Raw genomic sequence first — 15,572 nt, forward strand, 5'->3', positions numbered from 1 at the left:
AGGAGCCATGTAATTTGAAAGCCTGGCCTAGAAGACTTACAGTGAGGTTTCCCAAGATTGGATCTGCACACATTTTAATCAGTTCCCGCACTTCCTGGGGCTGAGCCTAGTTCTGTTGTAATAAGCACTAAATAAGGAACAGGTGACCAGACACGCATCCCTATGGCTGCTATGACTCCGAAAACACAAAGTGAGCCCCCAACCCTCCTTCCACATGGATACTCTCCAACTCAGTGCATCCCAAACTTAGCCTAATAAAGCCCAACTCCCCATTTGTACTCATCATATTTTAACTTCACCTTTCACACACAAACCCACCAATTTCTACCCAAGCCCACCCAACCCAACTCAACCTACTTAAACGTAATGGCATCTACTCTGCCAATGGGCACTGTGTATGGTTAAATAGGTTGTACCTTGCACAAAGGTGCCTGGCTGAGCCAGGTAACGCCAAGCCCCGTTGCCCCTCTGCTGGGGAAATCCCACCCCTTAGGGAGCAGGAAAGGAGCAACAGGGGATTAGTAAACCCTCTATACACACTCACAATCACAACATACCCCGCTCAGGGCCCCCACCTCCACCTAGTGTCTCAATGGTCTTGGGGCACAGTCAGGTCTGTAGAGAAGGTCCATGAGTTGCCTTCTCTCAGCCTCCACCTGGCTAAAGGTGCACAGGCCAGGTGAGTAGTGTACTTAAGAGACTCATGCTCTTCCACACCCAGCCCAGGGAGACAGTTACACAGAGCCACAAACAGGGAGGGACACTGGACCACAGTGTCATAGAGAGACAGAGAAGCAAATAGAGACCAGGAGAGACAGACAGAAGCATGAGTCAGGGACAGAGATGAAGAAGGGAGGTGTTGAGAGAAGGAAGCGTTGGATGGCAGGGGTGGGGAGGGGACCACGGGGAACCCCACGTTTAACTGTGGGACTCCAAGTGTTGTGATGTGGCCTTAGGCAGGCGACTGCGCCTCTATGGTTCTCAGACCACCCCCTGACGGAAAGGAGAGCTTCCTTGATCCTTCTCAGCTGGTCAGGGATGGTGTGGGGCAGGGAGTGGCCCTGGGGTAGTGCCAGCTCCTGCCAGGGCAGGGCCATCTGCAGAGCACCAGGAAAGCTACAACGGGGAGGGAGAAAGAGAGGAAGGGCTGAAGCGGAAGGATTTTGCTGGCGCCCAGGCTCGCTTTCTTCCCTTGAAAGGAGCAGCAGTTATGCTCTTGCCACCGCGCCTCAGTTCACATTCGTGGTCAGGATGTGAGTGTGCGTATGTGTGTTTGCACTTGTGGCTCACGTACCACCGCATATGTGTGACTATCTGGATGTGTTTGTGACAAAATGGTGTAAATGAGAGACAGAGAGAGAAGTGTATTGTGTGTGCGTGTGTGCACACGCATGTGTACATGTGCACATGTGTCTTTGGGTTGAGAGAATATGTGTGTGGCTGTGGGTGAACAAGGTGAGCATGTATATGAGTGTGGATGTGTATGCTGCATGATGCGTGCATGTGTGCATGCCAAGTGTGTGTCAGTGCAGCTGCTGGAGAGGAGGCTACAGACAGAGGTGGCTGCCTTGAGCTGGCTGTGTCTATGGCTCTGGTGTAGCAATGAGCCTGTCACATAGTAGGCCCACACCATACCGTGGTGAAATAAATGCTTGGTGGAAGTCAGTGAGAGGCTCCTGGACTTTTAGAGGAGGCCTGTAAAGCCAAGAAACTTCTAGCCAGGGGGCAATCATGGATGCTTACGCAGTGTTTTCCAGTTCCCCAAGCCCTTCACCTGAGTCCTCTTGTTTGGGTCTTTTCACCAAACCTGAGGGATTTAACTGCATTTTACTGATGAGAGAATGGAGGCTCACTTGTCCAAGGTCCCACCAGGGCCCGGGGCAGAGCCAGGACCATGACAGCCCTCCTGGCTGCAAAGCCTGTAAAACCCTGCTGCTCCCCCTTCCCTGGGAACAGGAGCTGCTGAGAGTGTACCTGATGGTGCAGATTTTCACCATTATTTGTGTTGGGTAAGAGTGGCTGTGGGCAGTCAGCGTCTCCAGGGAAACCACAGTGAACACTCTTTCTCTAACCCATCCCTCCTCTCAGCTGCTCCGCCGTTCCCTGCGTTCCCTGCACTCTAGCCCTGTGCCTAACTGGGTGACTTGGGGCCAGCCCCTGCCCTCTCCAGCCCTCATTTCTTCATCTGCAGGTGGGAATGGTGCTGAAGACTAAGTGGAATGACAGATGGAGATGGCTGGCACATAGTAGGTACTCAGGAAATACTGGCTTCTAAGAGGAGCCCGGCTCTTTCTCCTGCAGCCCCAGGCACTGCAGCTCTTTCTTGTTGCTTCTCCCGAGGCTCACAGATCACCTGGGAAATCATCTCTGACCTGCTGTTTCCTGGCCAGCTCACTTGCTGCTTCCACATGCTGAATCCCACATCTTCAGGCCTTAATGGAGCCAGAGGCCCATCCTGCCCGCCCTCCAGTGTCTAGCAAGACCCACCCCTAAGGCACCAACGGCACAGAGGTGCCTGTCCCATGGGCTATGAATCCTGCAGGGGATAAGTTCTCTCCCAGGGTCTCACCCTAGAGAATCCTGTCTTCCTTTGCTGGGCAGTCTTGGTTGGCCCTTCCCCACACTGGGACTCAGTTTCCCCATCTCTACAATGATGCAGTTGCTCCATCGATAGCTCAGACCCCACGGGTCCCTGTGGCTCTGGTGAAACACCCCTGCACTAACGGGTTGTTCTGCACACAGTTCGGGTGCTTTGGCCTTTGCCTTCAGTGAGCCGGCCCCACTATCTATCCGGTGAGGCCATTTGCCCTGCCCTGCCAGGACGAGGTCGGACTCCAGGAGGCCTGGGTGTAAGCCTCCCCTCTGTCTATGCTTGCTGGTTTGGGTTCTCTGAGCCTCATTCCCTCATTTGTCAAATGGGGAGAGTGATATGGACCCTGCCCACCTCCCAGCACCAAGCCAGGTGAGGGGAATAAAGACCTGCAGAGACTCTGAAGGGTCACAGAGAAATAGCAGATTGCAAGCCAGTCACGACGCAGAGGTGAAGCGCATGGTGGGTGAGGGCATGGGCCCCCAGCCATGATGCTGGGATTTGAAAGTGGCTCTTCCACCCCAGCTGCACGCCCTGGGCAGCCTCTCATTTGTGGAATGGGGGAATAGTGGTAATAGGGCTTGGGGGGCTGTGGTGAGGATTAACTAAGACATCTGTGTATGAGCGCCGAGTGCCATGCCTGGCTGCGTCAGCACGCAGTCACTGCCACTGTGTTCCTGTTCCAGCATTGTCCTGGGTGCCTGACACCTGTCGCTCCCATCTGACCTCTTCTGACCTTCATCCTGAGGGCCCTGCCCGCCTCTGCTGCCCCTCCTCACGAGCCAAACTCACCCAGGCTCCCCATTTTCATGTGGCACTGCCCACTTGGCCAGCCCTCTCCATCCTAGTGGTCTAAGGCCAAACCATTACTCATACAATAAGCACTTATTGAGTGCCTGCTGTGTACCAGGCCCTGTTTCTGGCATGGAAGGGCAGCCTTGTTAGTGCTGCCTGTCTAGCACTGAGAGCTTGTGCTGGAGCTGAACAGGGTGCCGAAGGGTGAAACCACGGCCACCTCCCCAAATGACAAAACCTCTGACACTCTCTCCCCAAGAGTGCTCGATAGTGCTCTGCAGAGCCCTGGGGACCATAACTGGGGGGGGGGGGTCAGAGCCTCCAGGCCCCCCACTCCTGCTCCCACCTGCACATCTTGCACCCTGGAATTCTGCAAGCTGTTTTATAAAACGAACTCTGCAGTTAGAGGAGGGTTGAGAAGCACTGCTCAAATCCAACCTTTCTCAGTGTAGACAGGAAAACTGAGACCCAGAGGGACTCGCCCAAAGTCAATCCTAGATTTTGAGTCATCCAACTTCCGGTCTAATGTTCTTCCCACAGCATCCTCGGAATCGTCTTTCGGGTCTGTACCCTCTGGCCCCTGGTTTTGAGTGGCCCAAGTTGAGCCTCTGGAAATGTCCATCAAATATAGGTCAGCCTTGAGAGCCTCAGACCCTGGTGGACACCTTTTCCCCTGCCAGCCCCACACTCTCAATTGATTAATAACAACATATTTGAGACGGTAGCACAAATTAATTTCTGAATTGTGCCATTAGTGAGTAATCAATTTCTTTGCTCTGGGAAATGAAGATATATCCCTGACGAGCATGTTATCTAAATCTATAAAAGAGGAGAAATGCTGAACAGGCAACTCCATTAATGCAAACATTGATTTTTTTTTTGACCATTTCCCCCTCTCTTGTGTGAGAACTTTCCCCTGATTTCTATACCCCCACTTTTTGGGAGGGCAGCATCTGTTTTTCCAAGGAAGGATGGGGGCCCTTGGAGAGGGGGAGGGCTGCCTCTTGATACCTTCAGCAGTAATCAAAAGATCGTGTGCGCTTACTGCAGCCAAATAATGTCCTTATTGGATGCTATTAAGGATACGGTTGCCATAGAAACCCAGGATCTCGACCCACCAGGTTTGGATGCCAAACCTGGAACGTGCATTCTTCTGCAAGCTGCTGGAGGTCTGGGAGTGATGGGAGGAGAGAGGTGGCTGAGCTGGGAGGTTGTGCTGTGATCTTCCATACCGGCCCCTCCATTAGATGCCAGCTGCCTCCTCTAGAAAGTCCTCCAGGATTAGCATATCTCCATGTTCCCCCCACCTCCCCCATCTGGTAGCTGGCACATTTCCCAGCTGGCCTGACTTAAGACCTCTTGGACTATCTAACGAATTCCTATCTATGTGACTCTGGGCAAATTGCTTAGCCTTTCTGTGCCCCATTTCTTCATCTCTAAAAAGGCGATAATAGTCCCCCTTTTTAGACTGATTATGAGAATTTAATGAGATAATGAATGTAAAGCGCTTAGCACAGTGTCTGGCCTGGAATGAGTGCTTGATCAATGAGAGATATTATTACCATGGCAAGTGGAGGGTGGAGGGTCTGTCAGGGGACAGGAGCAAAAGCTGGATTCTGGTCTGATTCAGATCTGAGGCTTGCCTCTGCCCAGCTGTGTCCCTGGGCAAGTGGCAGTCTCTGTGATCCTTGGCTTGTCTTTTAGATGGAGATGAGGATGCTGATGGTACAGGCGGGATGACCATGTCTTTCAGTGTTCCGGATGGTCCCTGTCTACACCTATTGTCCAGTGTACTTGTTCACAGCACACACAGACACTTGTTGGATGCTTTTACCCACAAGGGGACCCAGACTGTTAGGCTCAGAAGAGGTCCCAGGCTACCTGTCCCTTACTACCGATGGTGCTGCAGCCTCAGCTGTCTGGGTTGGGCCAGGAAGTCGCCTCATTAGCTCAGATTCCAGGTTCCCCAGGGCAACCTCATGCAGGCCTCTGCTCTGAGGTCAAAGGAACAAAAGGAGAGACAAAGGCTGTTCACCCCCTGCCTGGCTCCAGACACCAGCTCCGGTGGGATAACATGGCCCCTTGATCCAGTCAGCCCCAGTTAGTGCCCTGGGAGAGAGACCTGGCAGTGGCCTCCTGGCCACGGCTTCCTGGGGCTTCCTGCGCACCTCATCCAATTCAGGTTGTCAGCCCTGACCCAGAGGGCCTGGCTGCTCCCAAGGCCTTGCCCTTCCCCCAGTTCATTAGCACCTTTTGGACCGAGGATGTTCAGATACATGCTGGCCTCATGATGATTCACCATCTGGCCACCTGTCACTAACCAGAACCTCGGGCTCCTTAGCTGCGAAGTGAGTGAAATAATCCCTGCCTCACTTGTTGGATCGAATTTCATGATACACGAGAAAGGGCTTTGTAAACTCTAGAGTGATGTGCACCCCATGAGTTGTGGGTCTCATCGAGGGACTCCTAAAGCAGATGTCTGTGAGGCCAGCCCTGAAACTGTACCAGTTTCTTTTTAGACCCTTGGCTTTTGTGATGACTGTCAAGTTTCCATGGGAACAACATAACTCCACCCATTCACATGTGTGTGGGCAGAGAGGTCCCTCAGAGGCCATGGAAGCTCACGTTGCTCTCTTGGCTCTGCTCTCAGCCTGCTGGGGGACTTAAGGCCAGGTGCCTCGGTTTCCCCATCTGTCGCAGGGCATGCTGATGCCAACTCTGTCTCTCTCACAGGTCCCTTGAGTAACTGGAGAAGGGGTGAGGTTGCTCGTTACATGGCAGAGACAGGTGGGGAATACAAGCAAGTACTCCTGAGCTGGAAGGACTTTCCCTGCTCTGGGGCCTTTGGCCAAGTTACCTCATCTCTCTATGCCTCAGTTTCCTCCATGGCCAAATGGCTTTGTAATATCTATGCTATAGGCTGTGAGGATTAGCAGTAAATTATGTGAAGTGCCTGGCTCACAGTCAAGACTTGGCAAGTGGTAACTACTGCTGTTATTATTATTTTCACACTGGCAAGGTTAAGACATTACCCAAATGAGGGACATCATTTTTGTTTTTCACACAAGAGCTGTGCACCTGGGGGCTGATTTGATTTGAGTTTGGTGCACTGGATAGGAAGCACAGAAAGCCTGGCCCAAGCTCTTCAATAATGTCCTGCCTCCCTTGTCCCCACTGAGCAGGGAAGGCTTGAAGTTCAAGGTGATGAAGTCAGGGAGAGAAGGAGGTAGGAAGGCCTGCTCTTGGCTTCATGTTCCCTTTCCCCTAAACCAAGAATAAGTTTCCCTAGGAAAGTGGACCTGCATTCAGGAGTAGACAGGTGAGCTGAGTGGACCCACTACCCTCAGTCAGTGACATTTTCTTTATTGATAGTGGCTGGAATGTGGTGGTGGCTCCCCAGGGAGTCCCAGGGTCCTAGGAATTCCCCCAAGGGACACATTAAATTTTCAGATGTAAGCACTGGCAGTTCTCGGACCCTCACAAGCCCCCTCCCCTGGACCCCAGGGCGGGATGAGAAGGGGCAGAGGCATAACAGGGCCTGTGACCTGTGGCCTGCTCAAGGTGTGAGTGCAGGGACTGGAACTAACTGAATTGGTCACAAGGGGATTACAGATGGGCAGGGGCTCCTTGGGGTCCTGGTGCTCAGGCTGGGCCGGTGGGGGCCGGTTGAGAAGGGTCACAGGGTCAGAGAACCTCAATGACTGCCCCTCCTTCTCTGCAAGCCACCCACCCTGCCCAAGCGGCACGCTGGAGCTGCAGGCTGACAGCAGGCAGGCTGGGGGAGAATGGCCCTAGAGTAGTGGCCTGCAGGCTCCTGATGAGCTCCTACCAAGGAGGCTCTAGCTGAGCCAGTGTAGTGGGGGCTGCGGGGGAGAGCAGGGTTCCTGGCCTTGGAAACCCTGTGCATCTTCGCAGGTTCTCCTGCACTTCTTAGCTGTAGGACCTTGGGCACTTAAGTCAATCAACGTCTCTGCACCTCTGTTTCCTCATCTGTAAAAGGGGGCCCAGTAGCAACTACATCATGCTATGTTAACTATATCATAGAACTATGGTGAATATTTGACGGAATCATGTGTATAAAATGCCTTGCACGATGCCCAGCACAGAGCAACTTAGAGAAATACTGTGAGGACTGAAAAAAAAAAAGATTCTTTAAGAGCACCCAGGTCAGTGTTTGCCACAAAAGGGCCAAACCTATTGGTTTCAATACTCTAGGTTTGAAAGAATATACCAGGCTTGGGCTCTGATATAATTTTGGATATTTTTCCCCTCCAAATCTCATGTTGAAATTTCATCCCTAATGTTGGAGGTGAGGCCTAATGGGACCTGTTTGGGTTATGGGGTGGGAGATGGCTCCCTCCTGAATGCCTTGGTGCCATCCTTGTAGTAATGAGTGGGTTTTCATGCTATTATTTCCCGGAGAACTGAGTGTGGACAGGAGCCTGGCACCTCCCTCTCCTCTCTCTTGCTTCCTTCCTCTCACCATGTGATGCCAACTCCCCTTCGCCTTCTGTCATGAGTGGAAGCTTCCTGAGGCCTCACCAGGAGCAGGTGCTGGTGCCATGCTTCCTATACTGCCTGCAGAACCGTGAGCCAAATTTATCTCTTTCATTATAAATTACTCAGCTGCAGGTGTTCCCTTATAGCAATACAAACAGACTAAGACAGGCTCCAAGGAAACCTGAGTGGGGAGGAGGGAGTGGGCAGGGGTTGAGGAAGGAGGCTGCATGGAGAAAGATAGGCTTGCATGGCCTTTTCCTGGTCATGCCCAGATTTCTTCCCCTCCAACATGCCCAGGTTTTAGGAGGAGAAGGTGTCTTCTGCTGGCAGAGGTGTGGCAGATGGAAAGGACTACAATAAGGAAAGAGACAACACCATTTCCAGCCATGTTAGAGTTACTGAGTTACTGAGACTGGACTTACCCTCCCCCCATAAATACCTACAGAACTAGACAAAATACATGAAACAACTATTTTCAGACATTGACAGTAGGTAGCTATTGACTGTGATTGTTGGGATGAAGAAAACAAATTAGGTGGACCCTATGTTCACCCCTGCCTGAAGGCACTATTCCGACTGCACCGTAAGGAGGAGGGGCCCAAGGAGAGCTCAGTGAACTCTCTTATTTGAGGGGATGGATTGGCATTGGATCAGGCTGAGGCAGCTGGAATTTGTGGAGCAGAGAACTGGATACAAGGAAGCTATGCAGACAAAAGACTTTGGAAATCTCCATAGGAATTCCCCGGATTCTGTTGCCAAGTCTTAAGACATGACTATTTAGGGTAAAACTCCACAAGCCTAGCAAACAGTGACCAGGGAGCTGTAAACTGAGCGTTTCCCCAAATTTACATAGGCATGGAAGACCTTCAAGTTCTGACCAGTCAGAATGGAGAGTCCCCAGGAGGGTGATGCCTTAGTAATAGGCCTCAACAAGTTCAAGGGGCAGCGTACTCTAAACTCATCTTGAGTGAATTTAACAAGACTTTAGAGGATTAAAAGTCCTCTGTAAGTAGAGGATCTGTAAGTAACCTAACTGCATGTTAAAACAAAGTCCAACACTTTTTAAAAACTACAATAAGATTAGCACTCTACAACATGAAATTAACAATGCCCAGCATTCAATAAAAAATACTTGATACAGATATGGGAACATTCTCAACTCATTTTATGAGGAAAGTAGTACCCTGACACCAAAACAGATAACAGATAAACGTGTTAAAGTATAAGAAAAATTTAGACTAATACCCTTCAAGAACATAGATTCAAAAATTCTTTACAAAATTTTAGCCAGTTGAATTTTAAATTCTATTAAACAGTTAATACATCATAGGCAAGTGGGGCTTATCCCAGAAATGCAAGTTTGGTTCACCATTTGAAAAATCAATCTATGTAATTCACCATATCAAGAGATTAAACTAGAAAAACCATCGATAATTTCAGTAGATACAGAAAAAGCATTTGACAAAATTTACCACTCATCCATGACAAATATTCTTAGCAACCTAGGAATAGAAGAGAATTTCTTCAACCTGATAAGGATGTAATATAATTAATAATGAGAAACTGATGCTTTCCCCATAAGATCAGGACAAGACAAGAATGTCCACTTACACGATTCCTATTTAACATTGTATTGGAAGACTTGCCAGTGCAATATGGCAAGAAAAAGGACTAAAAGTACCCAGATTGGAAAGGAACGTAAAGAACTGTCTTTATTTGCAGATGACATAATTGTCTACATATAAAATCCCAACAGAATGTACCAAAAAACTACTAGAACATACGAATTTAGCAAGGTTTCAGGAAAAAAGGGTAATATACAAAATTTAATTGTATTTCTGTGTACTAGCAATGAACAATTAGAAATTGTAATTTTAAAAAATCCATTTACAATAGCATGAAAATGTGAAATGCTTGGGGATCAATCCAACAAAATATGTGTAAGCTTTGTGTGCTAAAAACTACAAAATTGATGAGAGAAATCAAAGAAGATCTAAATAAATGGAGAGATATAAAATATTGTTTATAGATCAGAAGACTGAATATGGTTAAGCAGTTAATTTTTCCCATATTATTTATAGGTTTCATGTAATCCTAATAAAAATTCCAGCATACTTTCTTATAAATATTGACAGAGTGATTCCAAAATGTATATGGAAATAAAAGAACTTGAAATAGCCAAAAGTATTTTTAAAAAGAACAAAGTTGGACAACTCATACTACCATTTTCAAACTTGCCAAATAATTACCATAATCATGACAAATAGGTAGATGAAAAAAATAGAGACCAGTATTAGACCCACACATATGTGGCCAATTAATTTTTGACAAAAGTGCCAGGTGATTCAATGGAGAAAAATCATCTTTTCAATAAATTATGCTGGAACAATTGGTCATCCATAAGCAAAATTGAAATGCTGACTCCTACCTCACACCATACACAGAAATTAATTCCAAATGGATCATAGACCTAAATGCAATATGTAAAACTACAAAATTACTAGAAGATAATATAGGAGAAAATCTTTATGACCTTGAGTTAGGCAAAGATTTATTAGATTAGACACAGAAAGCACAAACAATAAGAGAACATTTAGATTAAATTGGAATTCATGAAATTTTAAACTTCTCATCTTGGAAAGACTAGTAAGAAAGTGAAAAGATGGCTGTAGATTTGGAGAAAACATCTGTAAATGATAAAGAACTTGCATTTAAAATATATAAAGAAACTTCACAACTCAATAATTAGAAAAAAAACAACGGTTTTTAAAATCGGCAAAATATTTGGACGTTCACTAAAGAAGGGACACAGATGGCAAATACATAAGTAAAAGATGTTTAACATCATTCGTTACCAGGGAAATGAAAAATTAAACTGCAGTGAAATCCCACTACACACTTATTAAAACAGCTAATTTTAAAACAACAAAAGCTGGAGAGGATGCAGAGTAACTGGAATTCTCATATTGCTAGTAGGGATGCAAAATAGTACAAATACTTTAGAAAGCAGATACAGCTTTTTAAAATAATGTTAAATAACTTGTCATATGATCCAACAATCCTACTCCTAAATATTTATCCAAGAAAAATGAAAACATGTTCATGAAAAGACCTGCATATGAATTTTTACATCAGCTTTATTTCTAGTCACTGAAACTAGAAATAATAAAATGGGTAAGGTTCATTCTATATATTCATATAATGGAATACTACTCAGCAATGAAAAGGAGTGGATTGATATATATATGACAACACAGATAAATCTAAAAAATCATTATGCTGACTGAAAGAAGCCAAACCCCAAAAGGTACACATGTTAGATTCCATTTATATGAAATTCTAGAATAGGCAACAATAAATCTAAAGCAGATCAGTGGTCACCTGTGTCCAAAGTCAGGAGGATTTCAAAAAGGCAGGAGGAAATTTGGGGGCTGAGGGAAACATTTTACCTCTTGGCTGTGATTTTGACCTTTGTTAGACTCATGAGCTGCCCACTTAAAATGGATGCCCTTGCTTAGATGTAGATTATACTTCAATAAAGTTGATTAACATGAAAGGAAATAGCCATGGGTGAGCATCTACCAAGAGCCACGCACTGTGCAAGGTGCGTTCAAATATATTCAAATATATCATCTTCGACATTGTAAGCATCTTCTTACAGCTGAGAAAGCTCAGGGGGCAGAATTTGAGTGACTTTCTCAGGAGCACACAGCTGGAATGGCGGGGCTGAGCTCAAACCTGTGTTTCAGGACTGGGGGACTGCCTCTCTCCATTGCTCAAAAGCCTCGTCACTTGGGGAGAAAGGGTAGGGGGAGAAACTACAGTTTAGATTCCTTGTGTTTACTTTCACCTCTGATGCATAAGCGGGAGTGACGTATTATTATCCCCCAAACACAGTGCCACAATGACACCAGCGAAGCAGCGGGGAGAGGATGGGGTCTTTGGCTGGCGCCAGGAAAGGGCAGCACCAATGTTCCTGTAGAATTGTGGGGCATGTGCTGTCACTCTGGGACTCAGTTTCCCCATCTTTAAAATAACATTCTCCATCCTGGGTCTCCTGTCCTTACTTGGGGGCTGTTCTCCTCTCCACTTTTTCTCTCCCCCAGTATCCCCTCTACCACCTTATCTGCTGCTGGATTGGAAGTAAAGGAGGAGGCAAAGTGGGGAAGGGAAGAATCCCTTCTACCCTGTGTTTCTCGGTGCCTGGGGTGTAAGCCCGAAGCTGATGGTAAGAGGCTGTGACAGGACCTGGCCCAGGGTGATGACTGCTGACTGTGATGAGTCATCAAAGCACAGCCGCAGAGGCACTGGGGCCAGATGCTTTTTGGTGAGGCAGGCACAAGAGCAGGGGCTCTCAGGTGGCTGGGGACCATAAAGGTCTTCTAACTGAGGCCCCAATTAATGCTGAAATCTCTCCAACAACATGTCAGACAAGCCTCTGCTTGATCAGCTCTAGAAACAGGGAGCTCACTCCTCTTGAAGCAGCCTGTTCCATGTGGGATAGATCCGGTGGGTAAATAGGTCTTCCTCTTCACGTCTGTCAGGATCCCAGCAGAAAACAGACAGGCTTTGAGGAGTCCTTTAATACAGGGACTGTTTACACAGGGTTGTAGAAGAGTGTGTGGACACTCCAGGGGTAGGGAATGCCTGAGCTAGGACCATCAAAAATGCCAGGCTGACAAGCTTTTGGCCCTTGCGTAGACAGTGGGAAGCCACGAGGTGTTTTCAAGGGAGGGCATGCTACAATGAAGTCTGTTTTATAAAGATCACTATGACTTTACTGTAAAAGAGAGGCTGCTGGGGAGCAGGAGACGGGGGCAGAGCAGAGGCTGCATGGGCAGGTCAGATGGAAGATGGCGTGGGAGGGACTGGGACTGTGAAGGCGGATGAGGAGAGGAGGGATGTGAGAGCTTCAGAGGAGCCAAAGGACTTTGGTGAGAGATTACTTACGGGGGTTGGAGAGGGATTGGAGTGAGGCTGCAGTAAGAGGGAAGAAGGCTGGACCCAGATTGGAATACGATTTGGCAGAAAGAAGTGGCCTTTCTGAAAGGGGAATGCCAAGGAGGACCCTCTCATAGACCAAGCCTTCTGCATGGCTCACATCCTCAGACCCCTGGCTCCTGCCTCCAACACTGGACCCAGGAAGCTGTGCTTTAGGAGGATTAACCCAGTGGTATATTGGAGCTGCCTTACACCGGTTCACAAGGTCCAGTTATGCACATCTCTTCCCCACAACATGCTCAGGAACATCACTTTAGTAGCTTGAAATTATCCACAGTGAGAATATTTACACCATGGGAACTGGCAAACACTACAAACCAGGGCATTTTCACTCCCCACCCCCACCACCATGCCAGTCGTTAAACAATTTTCAGTATACCACTGAAGTCAGAGAGCAGGAGCAGCTGTACCTAGTACCCCAGGCCACTAGGTCATTTTCCAGGCAAATATCTGCCCATGTGAGGCCAGACAAAGCTGCACTAGCTGCCTACCCCGAACAATGTCAAGGTAAACTGGTTTGTATGTTGGGAGCCATTGCAGCTATGGAGAAAGGTGGCGGTTTTCCCGCAAACTTTTCAGGCTTTGGGACACTCTATCTTCCCGGCCCTCAAGTGCATTCTCACATAGTCTTCGGATAGCTGGAAGAAGTTGGGTGTGGGCATTCTGGCCCTTTTACATTGGGAAAAATGAAAACTTCAGAGGTCAGGTGATTTGTGTGATATCATGCAGGGGCACTCAATCCTGTGTTTTAAAACGACCACCCTACTGAAGAAATTGCAGATTTCCAGCACCCCAGGTTTCCCGCCTGCATATCCCTGATGTTTCCCTCCCCATAAAATAAGCCACTATTCTGACTTCTATCACCTTACGTTAGTTTAGTCTGATTTAGAACTCTCTATAATTGGGATCATAAACTGTGGTATGTTCTCTCCTATGTCTCTTTCTTTCCTTCAACACTGTCTGTGCGACTCATGTGTGATGTGGGCAGCAGCAGCTCATTTTCACTGCTGCATAGTATTCCACAATTTATTCACTCTCATGTCTATTGACAGGACTTATTTCCAGTTTTTAGCTATTATGCATACTGTTGCTCTGAACATTCTAGTACATATATGTTGAAGACCATATGCATGCATTTCCGTTGGGTGTATATCCAGGAGTGGCATTTCTGGGTTTGGGATGGTTTAATGCAATTTTGATGCAACAGAGAGTTGTCGAATCCCTTTGGTATGTGAGTTGCTGAATGACACTCCCTGGGCTGGATAAGATTTCTTCTCTGAAGGGCCTAGGGGGTGTGTGTGTGTGGAGGGGGAGTAGCAGACACATTCGGCAGAACTCTGGTTGAATATGGAGGTGCCACCAGAGAGGAGGAACAGAGCCTTGGGGGCTCATGGTGTAGGGATGGCCTCTCTGTGTGGAGAACCAGCGAGCCTGGAGGATGTGGCCTTTGAAGGGCTTGGGAAAGACTTGAGTCCACAGAGGTGGAGGGAGGGGCTTCTAGGAAGGGGACTGCAGGGCAAGGGGTGGAGGTGGGGAAACAGGTACTTAGAGAAGAGCAGGTGTTCCCTCTTGACTAGAGGGCTGGATTCCGCAGGGCAGCAGCAGTTAGTGGTTGGGGCATGATCACTGATCACAGAGGTCTTGAACATAGGTCTGGGAGTTTAGGCTTTTGTCCTTAGGGCCCTGGGAAACCACTGAAGGCCTCCAAAAGGGGCAGTGTGTGGGAGAAAAACTTGTGTGTCTACGTATGTATGTGGGGGTGCTGGATTCAGAGAGGGGTACCCACAAAGTCTAAACTCAGAAATGGGGAGAGAGGGGAGGGAAGGGGGAAATAAGACTGAGTGGAGGAAGGTGGCCCATATGAGGGAGAAGTCCTAGGTGGGGATGAGAGCTTCTCTGTTCAAACCTCCTTTTCCAGAGCAGGGGGACACATGAGCCTGAAGCACCTAGTGGCCCCCCAGGAGGCCACTTACCAGAGGAGCCGGACAAAGCCCCTCCCACCCAGGACTGCAGCCTCCCTGAGACAGGAGGGACCGTGGGCAGCCTTCACTTCCCTCCAGTGTCCCATTCAATGTCAGTCTGGGATTCCTTTGATGGTTGTTCCTTCCCTTAGGTAGCAAGGTCCCTGGACCCATTGCCAAGGTGGGGAAATTGAGGCAGAGCCATAAGAAGACTCTGAGGAATGCATGAGGGAGGCCGGCTGTCATTTCTCTACATCTTCCCACCAAGCTCAGGGCCTCCTCCACGTGGGGAAGGAGAAGCAGGTGGGAAAAAGAGAGCCGAGAGATGAAGCCCCTTCTCGAAGCCTTTGTGAAGGGCCTCGCCTGCCTCCTCACCTGCTGCTCTGCTCTGAGGCCTGAGGCCTCGCTGCAGGCGCTCCACTGCTTTGCCGAAGGTGCCAATTCTTCTGGGGTGCAGTGGGAGGTGGGTGGGTGGAGGGGGAGCTGGAGGAGCTGCATCAGAATCTGCAGGTTGGGCCCACGTCCCAGTCCCTCTTCCCCTGGCTGGGGGACCCTGGTGAGTCCTCTGCTCCCCGGCCTCAGGTCCCCATCTGTTCTGATCTCGGGAGACCTCGCCTCCCGCAGTCCCTGCCTGGCCGCCCTGATGGGTGGGCCTCAGGATGACTGCAGGGATGATGGATGGGAGGAAGCCATAAGGAGCCCAGAGTGCCAGACAAGTGTGAGGG

The 15,572-nt window shown here is 48.6% G+C and overlaps 1 annotated feature.

Annotated features, from left to right (window-relative positions):
• Positions 8,403 to 9,024: an enhancer, noted in NCBI's record as "OCT4-NANOG-H3K27ac hESC enhancer chr10:72730532-72731153 (GRCh37/hg19 assembly coordinates)". NCBI's record gives its function as "activates a minimal SCP1, AML or CMV promoter by ChIP-STARR-seq in naive H9 embryonic stem cells {active_cell/tissue: H9 hESC(naive)}" and the evidence as "EXISTENCE:reporter gene assay evidence [ECO:0000049][PMID:30033119]".

The sequence above is a fragment of the Homo sapiens genome, chromosome 10 (assembly GCF_000001405.40).
Source record: "Homo sapiens chromosome 10, GRCh38.p14 Primary Assembly".
Lineage (NCBI taxonomy): Eukaryota > Metazoa > Chordata > Mammalia > Primates > Hominidae > Homo > Homo sapiens.